This window comes from Homo sapiens, chromosome 5 (genome assembly GCF_000001405.40).
Source record: "Homo sapiens chromosome 5, GRCh38.p14 Primary Assembly".
NCBI classification, from domain to species: domain Eukaryota; kingdom Metazoa; phylum Chordata; class Mammalia; order Primates; family Hominidae; genus Homo; species Homo sapiens.
Genome location: NC_000005.10, coordinates 13511094 through 13525856, shown reverse-complemented (window position 1 = coordinate 13525856; position 14763 = coordinate 13511094). Strand labels below are relative to the sequence as shown.

Genomic DNA, 14763 nt, shown 5'->3' with positions numbered 1-14763 from the left:
ACTCTTAGAAGACTTCATTTAAAGATGACACCTGCTGACAAACTAGGCTGCTTGCGTTGGATGGGGCAGCCTGTTCTCTTACTTGAAAACACTCTTGGAGGGCGGAAGAACCTGGAGATGAGCTATTCATGAGCCTTGGATGAGTGAGTGTGGGGATTGGGGACAGGTAAGAAGGGGCTAAGACAGAGGGAAGAATACAGTGAGGGAGATTTCCAGGCAAAGTAAAAGGGGCTTTGAAAATGACTCTGTTGTTAATTTCAGCCTACATTCCTCTATTTTATAAGGTATTATAACTACCCAATGGGTTCTTCTTGCCTGCTGCACAGATAAGACCAATTCACTGAGACCATGGCATTATAATAAAGAATGAGTTTAATTGGCATGAGGTGGCTATGCCTTGTAGACAAATCAATCTCAAATAAACCTCCCCAAAATTCAGAGGCTATGGTTTTTTAAGTGTAGTTTGGTGTTGGGGTTCCATCAGGCTGGTGGGAAAAATACTAAAGATAGTTATAGTAATAGTCAAAAACTCTCTTGGAAGGCCTGAGAGTTTGCATAGCTTCAGATTGCTTGGCTGAAGGCAGCCAGGGTCTCTTTGCAGGAGCCAGAAAGAGGGTGCAAGTACAAAGGAATGTGGGAAGTTTATCTTAGTAACCTGTTTACTTGTATGGGCTTAAGACTGACCTTTGTCCTACCTCAGTACTATACCGCCTCCTACTCAGGTGGGAGCAGTTGGCAGAAGTTTATTACCTGCAAATGGTGTGCTTTAAGCCTCAGAACCTGGCCTTTAATCTTTACCCTCTAGTGGTGTTTACTCACAACTTTTGTTAATTAGTCTTACTGAACAAATGCCAGCCTCACTATCTGATGGGGCCAAGTTGCAACTGTTTACAGAACTCAGCTTAGAGCCTGTAAGCGGCTCGGACCCTCAGCTGGACTGGCAGAGCAGAATATCTGTGTGTCAGTGTACTTTATTCATCTGTCACCGAATCAAGGGTCTGCAGGAACAGACCTCCCCACCGCCGCCACCCCCCCTGGAGCTAGTGCCCCTGCAAATGGAACGCTGCCTCAGTTTGGTGGCCAAGGGAATGGGTGCTGCTGATTGGTTAGGGTGTGGAAAATGTTCCTCGTGTGCTAAGTCTGCTTCTGGGTGGGGGCCGCAAGACTAGTTGAGCCAAGAGTTTCAGGTCTGGGTGGGGCCATCTGGTTGTCAGAAATGCAAAAGCCTGAAAGGATATCTCAAAAGGCCAATTTTAGCTTCTACAATAGTGAATTGGGGAAGTTGCAAATCTTGTGACCTCTGGAATGTGGCTAACAGTACCTACATCTTAGCGGAATTCAAGCCCCTCTCATCTTCCTAACCTGGTGACCTTTGATTAGTTTTACAAAGGCAGTTTAGTTTTGGGGAAGGGTTATTACCATATAAACTATAAACTAAATTCTTCCCAAAGTTAGTTCAGCCTAAAGCCAGGAATGAACAAGGGCAGCTTGGAGGTTGCAAACAAGTTGAAGTTGGTTAGATCTCTTTCACTGTCATAATTTTCTCACTATTGTAATTTTTTCAAATGTGGTTTCAGTATGACAATTACATGATTAAATGGTACTGTTGTCGCAATTTAATGGCAACTTGATTTACTTTGTTGAGGAATATCTAGGGAACTAACTTTCAGCACCCACATAACCTAAGACATCCTAAAAATACAGCCAATTGGCATAACAGAGAGAACTATGCCCAAAAGCACACCAAAGATTTACCTGGCTCCCCACAACCCCTCCCGTGGGCAGCCTGCACTACTCCCCTTCATTCCCTGGGGAAGATGCCTCAGACCCAGATAAGAAGAATTTTTCCTCAAATCTGTTATGACAATAGAAACACCATATAGTTTGCATGAAATGTTAGGCATTGCTACGAGCATTTTCTAATGTACTGACAATAGGCCTCTTTTAAAGATGAAAACACTGAGGCTCAGGAAGTTGAGCTCCTTGCTTAAGGACACGCGGTTCCTGCAGAGTCAGGACAAAATCCAGGGCAAGTAGGCAGGATTACAGGATGCACTTAGTGGCTCTGAGGTAAGAATCTAGTTCAGCCCCGACTTAGAAGTTTGGCAAGAGAATGCTGCACAGCATCTCAGGCACCATCTAGCCCTGGAATGTTTAGACCATGATCTGTTGGTGAAGTGGCTACATTGTGTGGGGTATAAACCCAGGGTTCGTGATCATGTGCCAGGAAAATTTAGAACACCAACACACATGAGGAGTTCAGGAGCAGAGGTTTAATAGGCAGAAGAGAAGAGAAGAGAAAGAGAAGCAGCTCTCTCCATAGAGAGACGGGTCTCCAAGTGGAAAGGACCCGTAGGTGGTGGATGCACCGAATTTTATAGTCAGGTTTGAGGAGTTAGTGCCTGATTTACATAAAGCTTACAGATTGGTTCGATCAGGTATGACATTTACATAGCACACAAGGAAGGCTGGTAGCCCCATCCTAATCTTATTATGCAAATAGGCTTTCCAGTTGATCTGCACCATCTTGTCTGCTCCTTACAGTACATGTGGCTGACAAACAGAAGGGAAGTTGGAGCCGCCATCTTGAACATGTATAGTGCCTCGTTCCTGCCAGCATTCACTCCTGCAAGCTTCCAGTTTGCTTGCCTATGTCTGCAGCTGGACTTTGTGAGAAAATGACTTGGGGCTGCTTTGCATGAAAAAGAAAAGCCTTACTGAGGACTCCCATATCCTTACTATCTGCCTAAGTGATTTCTTCTTAACTCCCGTATCATTAGTCGCTCAGGAAACTGCAGATCATGATCTGTTAATGGCTTGGGAAACCAGTTGTACTGGGTCCCAAACCACTTGCATTTAAAAAAATGCTATGAGGTAGAACATGACCTCTCAGAATATCACCACAAAAAATGTGTGTGAGGTATTGCATATGCTAGTTAGATTTAGCCATTCTACAATGTATACGTACATGAAAACAACACGCATTTACACACCAAATATATATACAATGCATGTCAATTAAAATATAGAGTTAATTTTTTAAATTAAAATATATCAGAACACACACATGTAGAAAGGTATCAGTTAGTGAAACTTTTATTCCAGTTATATATGTCTAAGATGAAATTATCCCTGTGAAGACTTTAATTTGCCAGGCTTGAAAGGCTCTGATCTCTACAGCCTTTGTGTTTTACAGATGGAGAGACTGAGGCCCAGAGGGAGCCAGGGGGTGGCCTGAGGTCAGGAAGCTAATTACAAGCAAAGTGCTGATTAGAACCCCAGGCACTTTTATTTCACCGTTCCTATCTTCCTTTTCTGTCCTCCTTTTCCCTCCTTATGTAATGCAGCACTGGGAGCTCAAAATCTCATCTCCTGTGGCTTAGTAGGGCTTAACTTTTCAAAACAGAAATGAATCCTGTTTGTTTTGAAAGGAAGGCTAAACCTAACAGGCAACTGGATGTTGAATAAAGGTCTTGGGGGATCGGGGCAAAAACGAGGAGCTTGTTTGTAAAGTTTCTTGGGGGAGCTGGGAATTTAGAACTCTAGGTGGTCCTAAAAAGCAGCTGAAATTTCCTGCTCTGCTGGGATCTATGTGAAGGAGGAGGCAAAATATGCTTGAGGAACTGCAAAACAACAGCCAACCTTTGCAGGAGAGGTGCAACCTTTGCAAAGGGCATGATAACTACCTTGATTGCAAGGCCCACCATTATCGGAAAGGGGGAGGCCACAGTGACCCAGCACGCTGCAGGAGGGCTGGGCTGGGCTGGGCTGGCCTGATGAATTGCAGGCTTCATTTCCCTAGTGTGGCGTGGAAAGCCTTGGAGCATGCCATTTAGTGGTTCTGTGTCTTAGTTTCTCATCTGTAAAATAGAGATAAAAATCTTTCATTATCCTGCCAAGCTGGATGTGGGGATTTGTTAGGTGCAATATGAAGATCAGTAAGAGTTATATATTTTTCCAACTGTCGAAGTAAGAAAAGGAGGGGAAAGCATGGGAAAAAACCCAGAATCCAATGTTATTGTCGAATGTTATTGTTCATTAAAGACAGGGCTTCAGCATCTGAATTACACGGCATGTTATTTTCTCAAATTGTAAAAACCAGTCTTGCATACATAAATTATATTCGTATTTTTTTAATGAATAAAAAAGGTCTTACAGATGAAAGAGTGCCCAGTGGCCACAGCTGGAACAATTTGAGCAACAAAATAAGGAAGTATTAATCTATAACCCAAAGTATAAAATAAATATCCGTAAGTCCATACTGACATAAATAAATGGTTGAATAGATGATTGAATAAATAAATTGTGAGCCCTGAATATCTGAGACAGATCTCAGTCAGTTTAGGAAGTTTATTTTGCCAGAATTAAGGACGTGCGCCCGTGACACAGCTTCAGGAGTTCCTGACGACATGTGCCCAGGGTGGTCTGAGCATAGTTTGGTTTTATACATTTTAGGGAGACCTGAGACATCAATCAATATGTGTAAGATGAACACTGGCTTGGTCCAGAAAGGCAGAACAACTTGAAGCAAAGGCAGGAGAACTGGAAGTGGGGAGGGAGCTTCCAGGCCATTGGTAGATAAGTGACAAATGGTTGTGTTCTTATGATTTTCTGATTAGCCTTTCCAAAGGAGGCAGTCAGATATACTTTTATCTCAGTGAGCAGAGAGATGACTTTGAATAGAATGGGAGGCAGGTTTGTCCTAAGCAGTTCCATTTGACTTTTCCCCCTTAGTGGTTTGGGGGACCCACAATTTATTTTCCTTTTACAAAATCAATGGGAGGAAAGAGACAAATCTCCTGTGCAGTATTCCAAATGATTTTAGTATTATACTTTGTGCCCCTAAGTGTGGGCTACTCATAGTGACATACTTCCAAAAAGCACAGTATTAGAATGGAGAAAAAGAGTAGCTTTATGGTGGAAAATCTGATCACCACTATATCAGCCAGGTGATCAAGGTTAACATCACCGGTGATAACTCATATTCATAGTACGTACACCTGATATCATATGATGAGAACAGCACTTCACTCCTTTGGTATTTCCCCCAAAACCCATAAGCACAGTCAAGCCATGAGAAAAACCTCAGAATGACACAAATTGAGGGACATTCTACAAAATAACTGACCATTCTCTGGAAAACTTTTTTTTTTCTTTTTTTTGAGACTGAGTCTCGCTCTGTCACCAGGCTGGAATGCAGTGGTGCATCTCGGTTCACTGCAACCTCCACCTCCTGGGTTCAAGCAATTCTCCTGCCTCAGCCTCCCAAGTAGCTGGGACTACAGGCGAGCGCCACCACGCCCAGCTAATTTTTGTACTTTTAGTAGAGACGGGGTTTCACCATGTTGGCCAGAATGGTCTTGATCTCTTGACCTCACGAACCTCCTGCCTTGGCCTCCCAAAGTGCTGGGATTACAGGCGTGAGCCACCGCGCCCGGCCTGGAAAACTTTTGAGGTCAAGAAAAACAAGGAAAATCTGAGAGACTGTCACAGCCAAGAGCAGCCTAAGTAGACATGACAAGTATGGGCTTTAGAAAATAATAATTAATATTAGTTTGTTAATTGTGACAAATGTAGCATACTCATGTCTGATGTTAATAATAGGGGAAAATGTGTGAGGTATATGGAGAGCCTCTGTGCCATCCTCGTACATTTTTTCTAAATTTAAAACTTTTCAGAGATTTCTGATAAACCTTAGCATAGAATATGATGTGTCCATCAAGTGACAGGTACTTGCCTTCAAAGACTTCAAAATATTGAGGGGACACAGTATGTAAACACATCCTGGGGTGGGAGGAGATACAGAATGGCATAATGCCTTTGTCAATGCTGAGACCATAGAGAGGCATTTCAGTGAATAGCATTTGGCTACACTGGAAAGTTCCCTCCAACAATTTATTTGCAACACCTATCTTCACCAACCAAAGGAGTGATGGTGCTATTAGGAGTAGCCTGTTGAAGGTGAATCTAATTTTGAACATGTCAAGTTTGAAGATCTCGTGGGATATCCAAGTATGTGAAATCAAGTCTGTGGGTCTGCCCAAAGGGATAGATTTGGGCATCATCAACCTTTCAATGATAACTGAAGCTGCAGTTGATTTGGAAGCATCTAACAGTTCTTGGGCTAAGTAGAATAGATTTATTAATCAGTGAGTTATAATGTAGCCTGCACAGAGAACCAGAGTCCCAGGTGTGCCAATTACTATCTGAAACTAAAGAAAATTGTGTGGAGTTTTTGAGCCTCAACTTCCTAACTAATAAAATGCAGACCACAATACCCCTGGTCTTTTTTACCTTTCAAGTTGAATGAGGATGTCAGAGGACATCATACATGTCTTTGGTAATTTTTAAAGAGCTATAGAGATTTAAGATAGTCATTTTTTTGGTGTGATTGACAAAATTGACTTCAAAACAGGCATCTCTAAGAACTTAGCCCTCTTAAAGCTCCAGTTGAACTGGATGTCAGTTTTCTTTCCTGGAACTCAAAGTTCTAAATACCACAATGATTTGCACACTATTTGGAGAGATATTTGAAAGACATAGTTTTTGGCTCAGGATTAACTTTCCTTCCTAAATGGTTGACAAGATCGCATTTTTCATCACATTTTATTATAATTTCAAGGGAAAACCAGAAGCCATTTTTGAAAAATTTCCAGTGCATTTATGTTTCTTATGATAAAGGGGTTTTCTGGTAATAAAACATTCTAATAAGACTTTTGTTAGAAGTTCTTGTGTGTTTTATTGTCATGATATGGCAGGATGTGGAAAAAAGGATAGAGAAACCAATGCAATTCTCACTGCGGAAGTCATGTAATTTTATCAAAATTCTGAGAAGCCCACTATGCCAAATAATACATTACATGTGGGCAATAATCAAGGAAATAAAGAAGCTTGGGTCATGCCAGCGATTTGATTCCTCACTTTCACATTGTGGTTAAACACACAGAGCTTTCCTCTCAGGTGACAACCACACATGCTGGATAGGCGTGAATTTGACTGTCTTCTGGCCATGGATTTTTTCCCTGCTATTAACCTTTACAAGGTTTCCAGCATTGGAATTAAGTACTTCTCTCTGAGATTTCGTTATGAGACAGTACACTCTTTGACCTATTCATGTTAAGCATTCTCCTCCTTTAGCCTGAAGCCCATGGACTGGCCTGCCACCTTGCAAGTTCCAACAAAGGTTATGAGAAGAACAGAGGGTAGAGCTATAATGAGCAGAGAGCCTTTTCCCTCCTTCTCTGGAGCACACAGACAATAATCTTTCTCAATTAATAACCACCCATGGACTTGTTAGCCTTTTGAGCCATTTTGGCAGCATCAAGCTCTTTCTAAAGCACATTTAGAACAGTTCCCCATGTGGGAATGATAATCTGCCTTTTGAAAACTTCTTTTTGATATGTTTTTTTTTTTTAAATCTGAATAAGAGGAGAATGAAAGTGAACAAAATGGAATTAAGTTCGAAGCTAGATCTTTTGTGATAAAACATAGGGTTTTCAGCACAGGAAAATATTGATCATGACATGTCTCTTACAGGGAAGAAAGATTTATTAGCTGTGCAGTCAGGAGGGAGCTGAAATCCTGAAGAGACAGTTTCTCAATTCACCTGAAGGGAGTGTGATGCAGCAGAAAGGAATGATTTTGGTGAAAATTTACCTAGTGAGTGAGAGGATCACATTCTAGTATTTAATTAGCCTTCATCATCACCGTATTTTCCAGTTTCAAATAATTTCAAGTGACAGATGATCTTAAGCAAAACCGTACCAACTTGTGTTCGAATCTCACACCTACCACTGAGGAGCTTTGTGATCTCAGGCATGGCTGGCAATGTCTTTGAGGCTAACTGTCTTCATTAAATAAGGATATTAATTTATGTCCCATAGATCCATTGAGAAGACAAAATGTAAAATATCTATGAAGAAGCTTCTTATAAAGCAATACACAAATATGTACATTGTTACGTGGTCCTCTCATTTTCAGACATGACCAAACAATATCTGAAAATGCTCAAAGAAGACATAATTTCACCCAACCCTAAATCAAATGTCACCTAATGATCTTTCTGCACAAGAGCATCATCTCATGAAAGATGATTAGGTTCAATATTATTATGCAGATTCTGGGTAATGGTGAAATCAAGGGAAGGTGAGCACCACTCAGAAGCCCTTGGAGAAGGGATTCTGAATACTTGAGAGAGCTTAATACCAGGGAGAGCATAAATGAGCAAGTGGAAGAATAATCTCTGCAAAACAGCCTGTATTAGTAAGGGTTCTCTAGAGGGACAGAAGTAATAGGAGAGAGAGATATATATATATCTCCTATTAGTTCCATATTCAAACACACACACACACACACACACACACACATATATGGGAGTTTATTAAGTATTAGCTTACACCATCACAAGATCCCATAATAGGCTGTCTGCAAGCTTAAGGAGCAAGGAGAGCCAGTCTGAGTCTCAAAACTGAAGAACCTGGAGTCCGATGTTTGAGGGCTGGAAGCATCTAACAGTGGAGACAGATGAGACAGATGTAGGCTGGGAGGCTAGGCCAGTCTTGCTCTTTCACATTTTTTCTGCCTCCTTTATATTCACTGGCAGCTGATTAGATTGGGCCCACCAGATTAAGGGTGGGTCTGCCTTACCCAGCCCACTGACTCAAATGTTAATCTCCTTTGGCAATGCCCTCACAGACACACCCGGGATCAATACTTGGGTCCTTCAATCCAATGAAGTTGACACTCAGTGATCAACTGAGTTATCACACAGCCAGAGTTGGTGCTGTTAGCCATAGCTCTCCCAGCATAACAGCAGGAAGGGCTGGCTGGAGGAATCTCCATGGCTTCAACTAGCACCTCCCTACTTCCACTGAGTTGGTTTCAGGGTCTTCCCAACCTCCTTGTTATGAATTGGGTTGTGCTCCCCACCCTGCAAAGATATAGAAGTTCTAACCCCCAGTTCTTATGATTGTGACTTTATTTTGAAATAGGGTCTTTACAGATAATCAAGTAAAAATGAGTTTATGAGGGTGAGTTCTAATCTAGTATGATCAGTGTCCTTAGAAAAAGGGGGAATTTAGATTTAGAGACACATACGTGCAGAGGAAAGACAACCTGAAGACACAGGGAGAATGTCATCTACAAGGCAAGAAGCACCCAAAGCTATGAGAGGCTACATGAGAGGCATAGAATAGATTCTGTTTCACAGCCCTCAGAAGGAACCAACCCTGCCAACACCTTGATTTTAGACTTCTAGCTTCCAGAACTATAAGACAGTAAATTTCTGTTGTTAAATCCACACAGCCCCAGGAAATGAATACATCACCCCTTGCCTGAGAAGCAAATATTATTTAGTTATTTGCTTCCTTTGTTGGCTGTTCACTTCTGCAGGAATGTAAACTACATGAGAGCAGAAACCTTGCTTGTCTCCATCACAGTGCCTGGAACAGTGCCTGGGAAGTGGTGGTGGGTGCAGCACAATCAATATTTGGGGAATGAATTGTTATCGTTCAGCCCAGCATGGTGAGTAACAAATGCAGGTATGACTGAGCCTGGTCTGAGTGAATCAAACAAAGTCCACATCTTTGATGTGTGATATTCTATCATCTTAGTTTTAATCACAGATTTGCTCTGAAAAATTAACTCCAATCAATAAATAAAACATCCCTAGATAACAGATATACTATTCTCTGATCTGTGAAGAAGATCTGATAATTAGGATGGCATTGCTCTTGCTCTCCTATAATCAAAGCTAGATTATAAATATCACTGGCATGCAAAATAAATACTAAGCACTTGTGTTTAGCTATTATGTTACTTCTCTAGCAAGGACGTAACTTACCTTTAGAAATCAACAATTCATAAGAGCCTTCTAAATTATCCTGTGAGGTTCTGTATTAGTTTTTTTTTTTTCACTCCCATGAGAAATTTCTGAAAAAAAAAACGTGGTTTAAGACAATATGAATTTATTCTCTTACAGTTCTGGAGGTGAGAACTCTAAAATGATCTCAGTGGGCTAAAACCAAGGTGTCAGAAAAGTTGTATTCGTTCTGGAGGCCCAAGGGGAGAATCTATTTTCTTTGCTTTTTCCAGCTTTTAGACATTGTATTAGTCCATTTTCATGCTGCTATAAAGAACTGCCCAAAACTAGGTAATTTATAAAGGAAAGAGGTTTAATTGACTCACAGTTCAGCATGATGGGGGAGCCCTCAGGAAACTTACAATCATGGGGGAGGTTGAAGGGGGGCAAGGCACCTTCTTCACAAGGTGGCAGGAAGGAGAATGCTGAGTGAAGGGGGAAGAGCCCCTTATAAAACCATCAGATCTCATGAGAACTCACTCACTAAAACAAGAACAGCATGGGGACAACTGCCCCCATGATTCAATTACTTTCACCTGGTCCTTCCCTTGACACATGGGGATTATGGGTTTTATGATTCAAGATGAGATTTTGGTTGGGACATAAAGCCTAACCATATCATTCCACCCCAGCCCCTCCCAAAACTCATGTCTCTTTCACATTTCAAAACCAATCATGCCTTCCCAACACTCCACCAAAATCTTAATTCATTCCAGCATTAACTCAAAAGTCCAAGTCCAAAGTCTCATCTGAGACAAGCAAGTCTCTACTGTCTATGAGACCGTAAAATGAAAAGCAAGTTAGTTACTTCCTAGATACAATGCAGGTACAGGCATTGGGTAAATACACCTGTTCAAAATGAGAGAAATTGGCCAAAATGAAGGGGCTACAGGCCCTATGCAAGTCTGAAATCCAGCGGGGCAGTCATGTCTCAAAGCTCCAAAATGATCTCCTTTAATTCCATGTCTCACATCCGGGTCACACTGATGCAAATGGTGGGCTTCCACAGCCTTGGGCACCTCCACCCCTGGGGCTTTGCAGGTAAAGCTTTCCTGGCTGCTTTCATGGGCTGATGTGGAGTGTCTATGGTTTTTCCAGGCCCATGGTGCAAGCTGTTGGTGGATCTACCATTCTGGCATCTGGAGGACAGTGGCCCTCTTCTCACAGCTCCACTAGGCAGTGCCGCAGTGGGGACTGTGTGTGGGGGCTCTGATCCCACATTTTCCTTCTGCACTGCCCTAGCAGAGGTTTTCCATCAGGGCACCAACCCTGCAGCAAACTTCTAAATGGACATCTAGACCTTTCCATACATCTTCTGAAATCTAGGCAGAGGTTCCCAAACCTCAATTCTTGACTTCAGTGCACCTGCTGGCCCAATATCACATGGAGACTGCCAAAGCTTAGAGCTTGCACCCTCTGAAGAAACACCTTAGCTGTACATTGGCCCCTTTTGGCCACGGTTTGAACATAGGACACGAAATCCTGAGACTGCACAAAGCAGCCAGGCCCTGGGCCTGGCCCACAAGACCATTTTTCCCTCCTAGGCCTCTGGGCCTTTGAAAGGGGGGCTGCCATGAGGATTTCTGACATGCCCTGGACACATTTTCCCCATTGTCTTGTCAATTGACATCTGGCTCCTCATTACTTATACAAATTTCTGCAGCCAGCTTCAATTTCTCTTCAGAAAATGGGTTTTTCTTTTCTATTGCACCATTAGGCTGCAAACTTTCCAAAATTTTATGCTCTGCTTCTTTTTTTAACATAAGTTCTAATTCCAAACCATCTCTTTGGGAATGCATAAAACTGAATGCTTTTGAGGACTCAAGTCATCTCTTGAATGCTTTGCTGTTTAGAAATTTCTTCTTCCAAATGTCCTAGATCATCTCTCACAAGTTCAAAGTTCTACAGATCACTAGGGCAGGGGCAAAATGCTGCCAGTCTCTGCTAAAGCATAGGAAGAGTCATCTTTGCTCAAGTTCCCAACAAGCTCCTCATCTCCATCTGAGACTACCTCAGCCTGGACTTCACTGTCCATATCAGTATCAGCACTTTGGTCAAAGCCATTTAATAAGTCTCTAGGAAGTTCCAAACTTTCCCACATCTTCTTGTCTTCTTCTGAGCCCTCCAAACTGTTCCAACCTCTGCCTGTTACCCAGTTCCAAAGTCACTTTCACATTTTTGGGTATCTTTATAGCAGCACCCAACTCTCTGTGGTACCAATTTACTGTATTAATTTATTTTCACACTACTACAAAGTACTGCCCGAGACTGGGTAATTTATAAAGGAAAGAGGTTTAATTGACTCGCAGTTCAGCATGACTGGGGAGGCCTCAGGAAACTTACAATTATGGTGGAAGGTGAAGGGGAAGCAAGGCACCTTCTTCCCAAGGTGGCAGGAAGGAGAAGTGCAAGTAGTGAAGGTGGAAGAGCCCCTTATAAAACTGACTCACTTTCATGAGAACAGCATGGGAGAAACACTGCCCCATGATTCATTTACCTCCACCTGGTCTCTCCCTTGACACTTGGGGATTATAGGGATTATAATTCAAGATGAGATGTGGGTGGGAATGCAAAGCCTGACCATATCAAATGCCATCTGCATGTCCTGGCCCATGGCCTGCTTCCATTTTCAAAGCCAGCAATGGCCAGTGGAGTTCTTCTAGTGTTGCCATTTTTACTGCCTTGTCACCCATTTAAGAAAAATGGTAATTACTCTGGGCCTGCTGGAATAATCCCATGTAATCTGTTTTCTGTTTATTTTAAAGTCACATGACTAGTAACCTTAATTTCATTTACAAACTTAATTTCCCCTTGCCATACAACAACCTAGTCACAGGTCCCAGGGATTAGGATGTGGAGATCTTTGTGTGTTTGTGTGTGTGTGTGTGTGTGTGTGTGTGTGTGTGTGTGTGTGTGTGTATGTGGTGGGGGGCATTATTCTTTCTGCCTAGAGCAATAGAGAACAGCTGCCCTCATTACTTTCTTCTCCCTATCGCAGGTTCCATAGCTTGGTGCTTTCAGCATACATTATTTCTAGGTGTCAGAGGGCTATCTCATGCCCTGATGATGTTATACTCAAAATCCTAATGTGGGGACATTGAGGCCAAAATTCAAGTTTCAAGATAGGTCTAAGAACAGCTTTTCACAGAACTCTATTCTGTAGGACATGAAAGAGACTATATTAAGCAAAAGTGTTTATGGTCAAATCAGATTGAGAACGCAGATTAAGCAAAAACAAACCCTGCCATTTATTTGCTGAAAGATTTCTAATTGCCTTTATCAATGTGCATTGTGGTTCTCCAGGTGGATACCATAGTATGCAGGCCCTCTCAAATTTATTTGGCTACAGAAAGCTTGTGATTACGCCGCATTTAATGGGGCTAATGACCTGTGGAACACACTGTGAGACATTTTGGTATAAAAGCGTCGTAGAGTGCTACAGAAAATTAGGAGTCTCTCTGGGCTTCAGGATCCATAGGAAATTGATTTCTAGAGTTCCCAACATTTTATTGCCTTGGCAGTTCCTAAAACAAATGAATCATCCTTTGGGGACTGCAAGTAATTTTGCCACTTAGGAACCTTTATAGCAGGAGATTGTAGGAGGCTCGCTTGATAGCTCCTTAATTCAACTTGTTCAAAATTAAACTTACTGTCTTCTTGCTCCCTCTCCCCAATTTACCTTACTGATAGGGGCTGAGTTGGGTCCCCTAAAATTCGTATGTTGAAGTCCTAACCCTCAGTACCTCAGAGTGTGACCGTATTTGGAGATAGGGTTTTTAAAGTGGCCATTAAGTTAAGATGAGGTCATTAGAGGGGGCCCTAATCCAATATGACTGGTGTCCTTCTAAGAAGAGGAGAGCAGGTACAGAGGGAAGGCCATGTGAAGACACAGGGAGGAGTCGGTCATCTACAAGCCAAGGAGAGAGGCCTCAGGAGAAGCATCCTTGCTGACACCTTGCTCTCAGACGTCTAGCCTCCAGAGTTGTGAAAGGATATATTTCTGTTGTTTGAGCCACCAGTCTGTAGTACTTTGTCATAGCAGCCCTAACAAACTGATATACCTGCCTTATTAAATTCTTCGTATTTTTTCAAACGTACCCTCATCTATTTCCATTTTTCTTATATCCAATGTACTTCTAAGCTTTGGCATGTTTTCCTCCATGTATTATCAGGCTCATCCCATCTTCCTCTCTATCCCTGTGCCTACCATGCTTGCATAGGTGGTCCTTGCACACCAGCCTTTTCTTGTGATTGGTCAATATTCCCATCATGCTGTCTTTCTTTACTGCCACCTGTCTTCCTGGCACACTAATGTCATCATGTTGTTTCACTTCCTGGAGAGAGAATGGCTTCCTGCTGTACACCCCATTAGTAATAGTTTACAGTCCTACCTGGTCCTGCCTTAATTCCCGCTCCAGTCAGCACCTGGGGCTCTAGGGATACAGTGGGGTTTATTCCTGCTGCCTTCCCTACATTCACAGTCGTCTCTCTGCCCAGTGCATTCTCCTTCCTCCTTTTTACCTATTCAGATCCTTTTACCTTTTAAGACTTGGCTCCTGTCTCCCTGCTGCCCTTAAGTTTTCCAATCCATGTGAGTGTGCTCCTGCTTTCCCACCGCACTCACCATGCTGCCCTGAAATGCAGCTTTTCTCAATAAAAATAAAACTGGCATCCTCAAGATTATCAGAAAAAAGAGAATGAGCTGGTGGAAAAGAACATCCAGTCCCCGTCCTAGACTAGATCCCTGAAAATCACTTGGGATTATTCTCTAATTGCTGTTGCTGCAGTCATGCTGGCCTTTCCTATAAAATACTGGCTCAAATGTGGAAAGATGACCCCTTATATAAATATCTTTTACAATTCCTGCATAAATATCCTACAGATTCCCTGAGAAAATGCATTTT

At 42.2% G+C, this 14763-nt stretch overlaps 1 long non-coding RNA gene across 2 annotated transcripts in view; it reads left to right on the top strand.

Annotated features, from left to right (window-relative positions):
* The window catches only part of LOC105374660 (uncharacterized), a 184231-nt gene that overhangs the window by 54494 nt on the left and 114974 nt on the right, over positions 1-14763 (top strand). Inside the window, exon 4 of one of the 2 annotated variants that reach the window (XR_007058696.1) lies at positions 9391-9522. The exons of the other annotated variant lie outside the window; for it this stretch is intronic. This is a non-coding gene — a long non-coding RNA (uncharacterized LOC105374660). The remainder of the gene's footprint in view (positions 1-9390; positions 9523-14763) is intronic. 2 annotated transcript variants of the gene reach the window in all.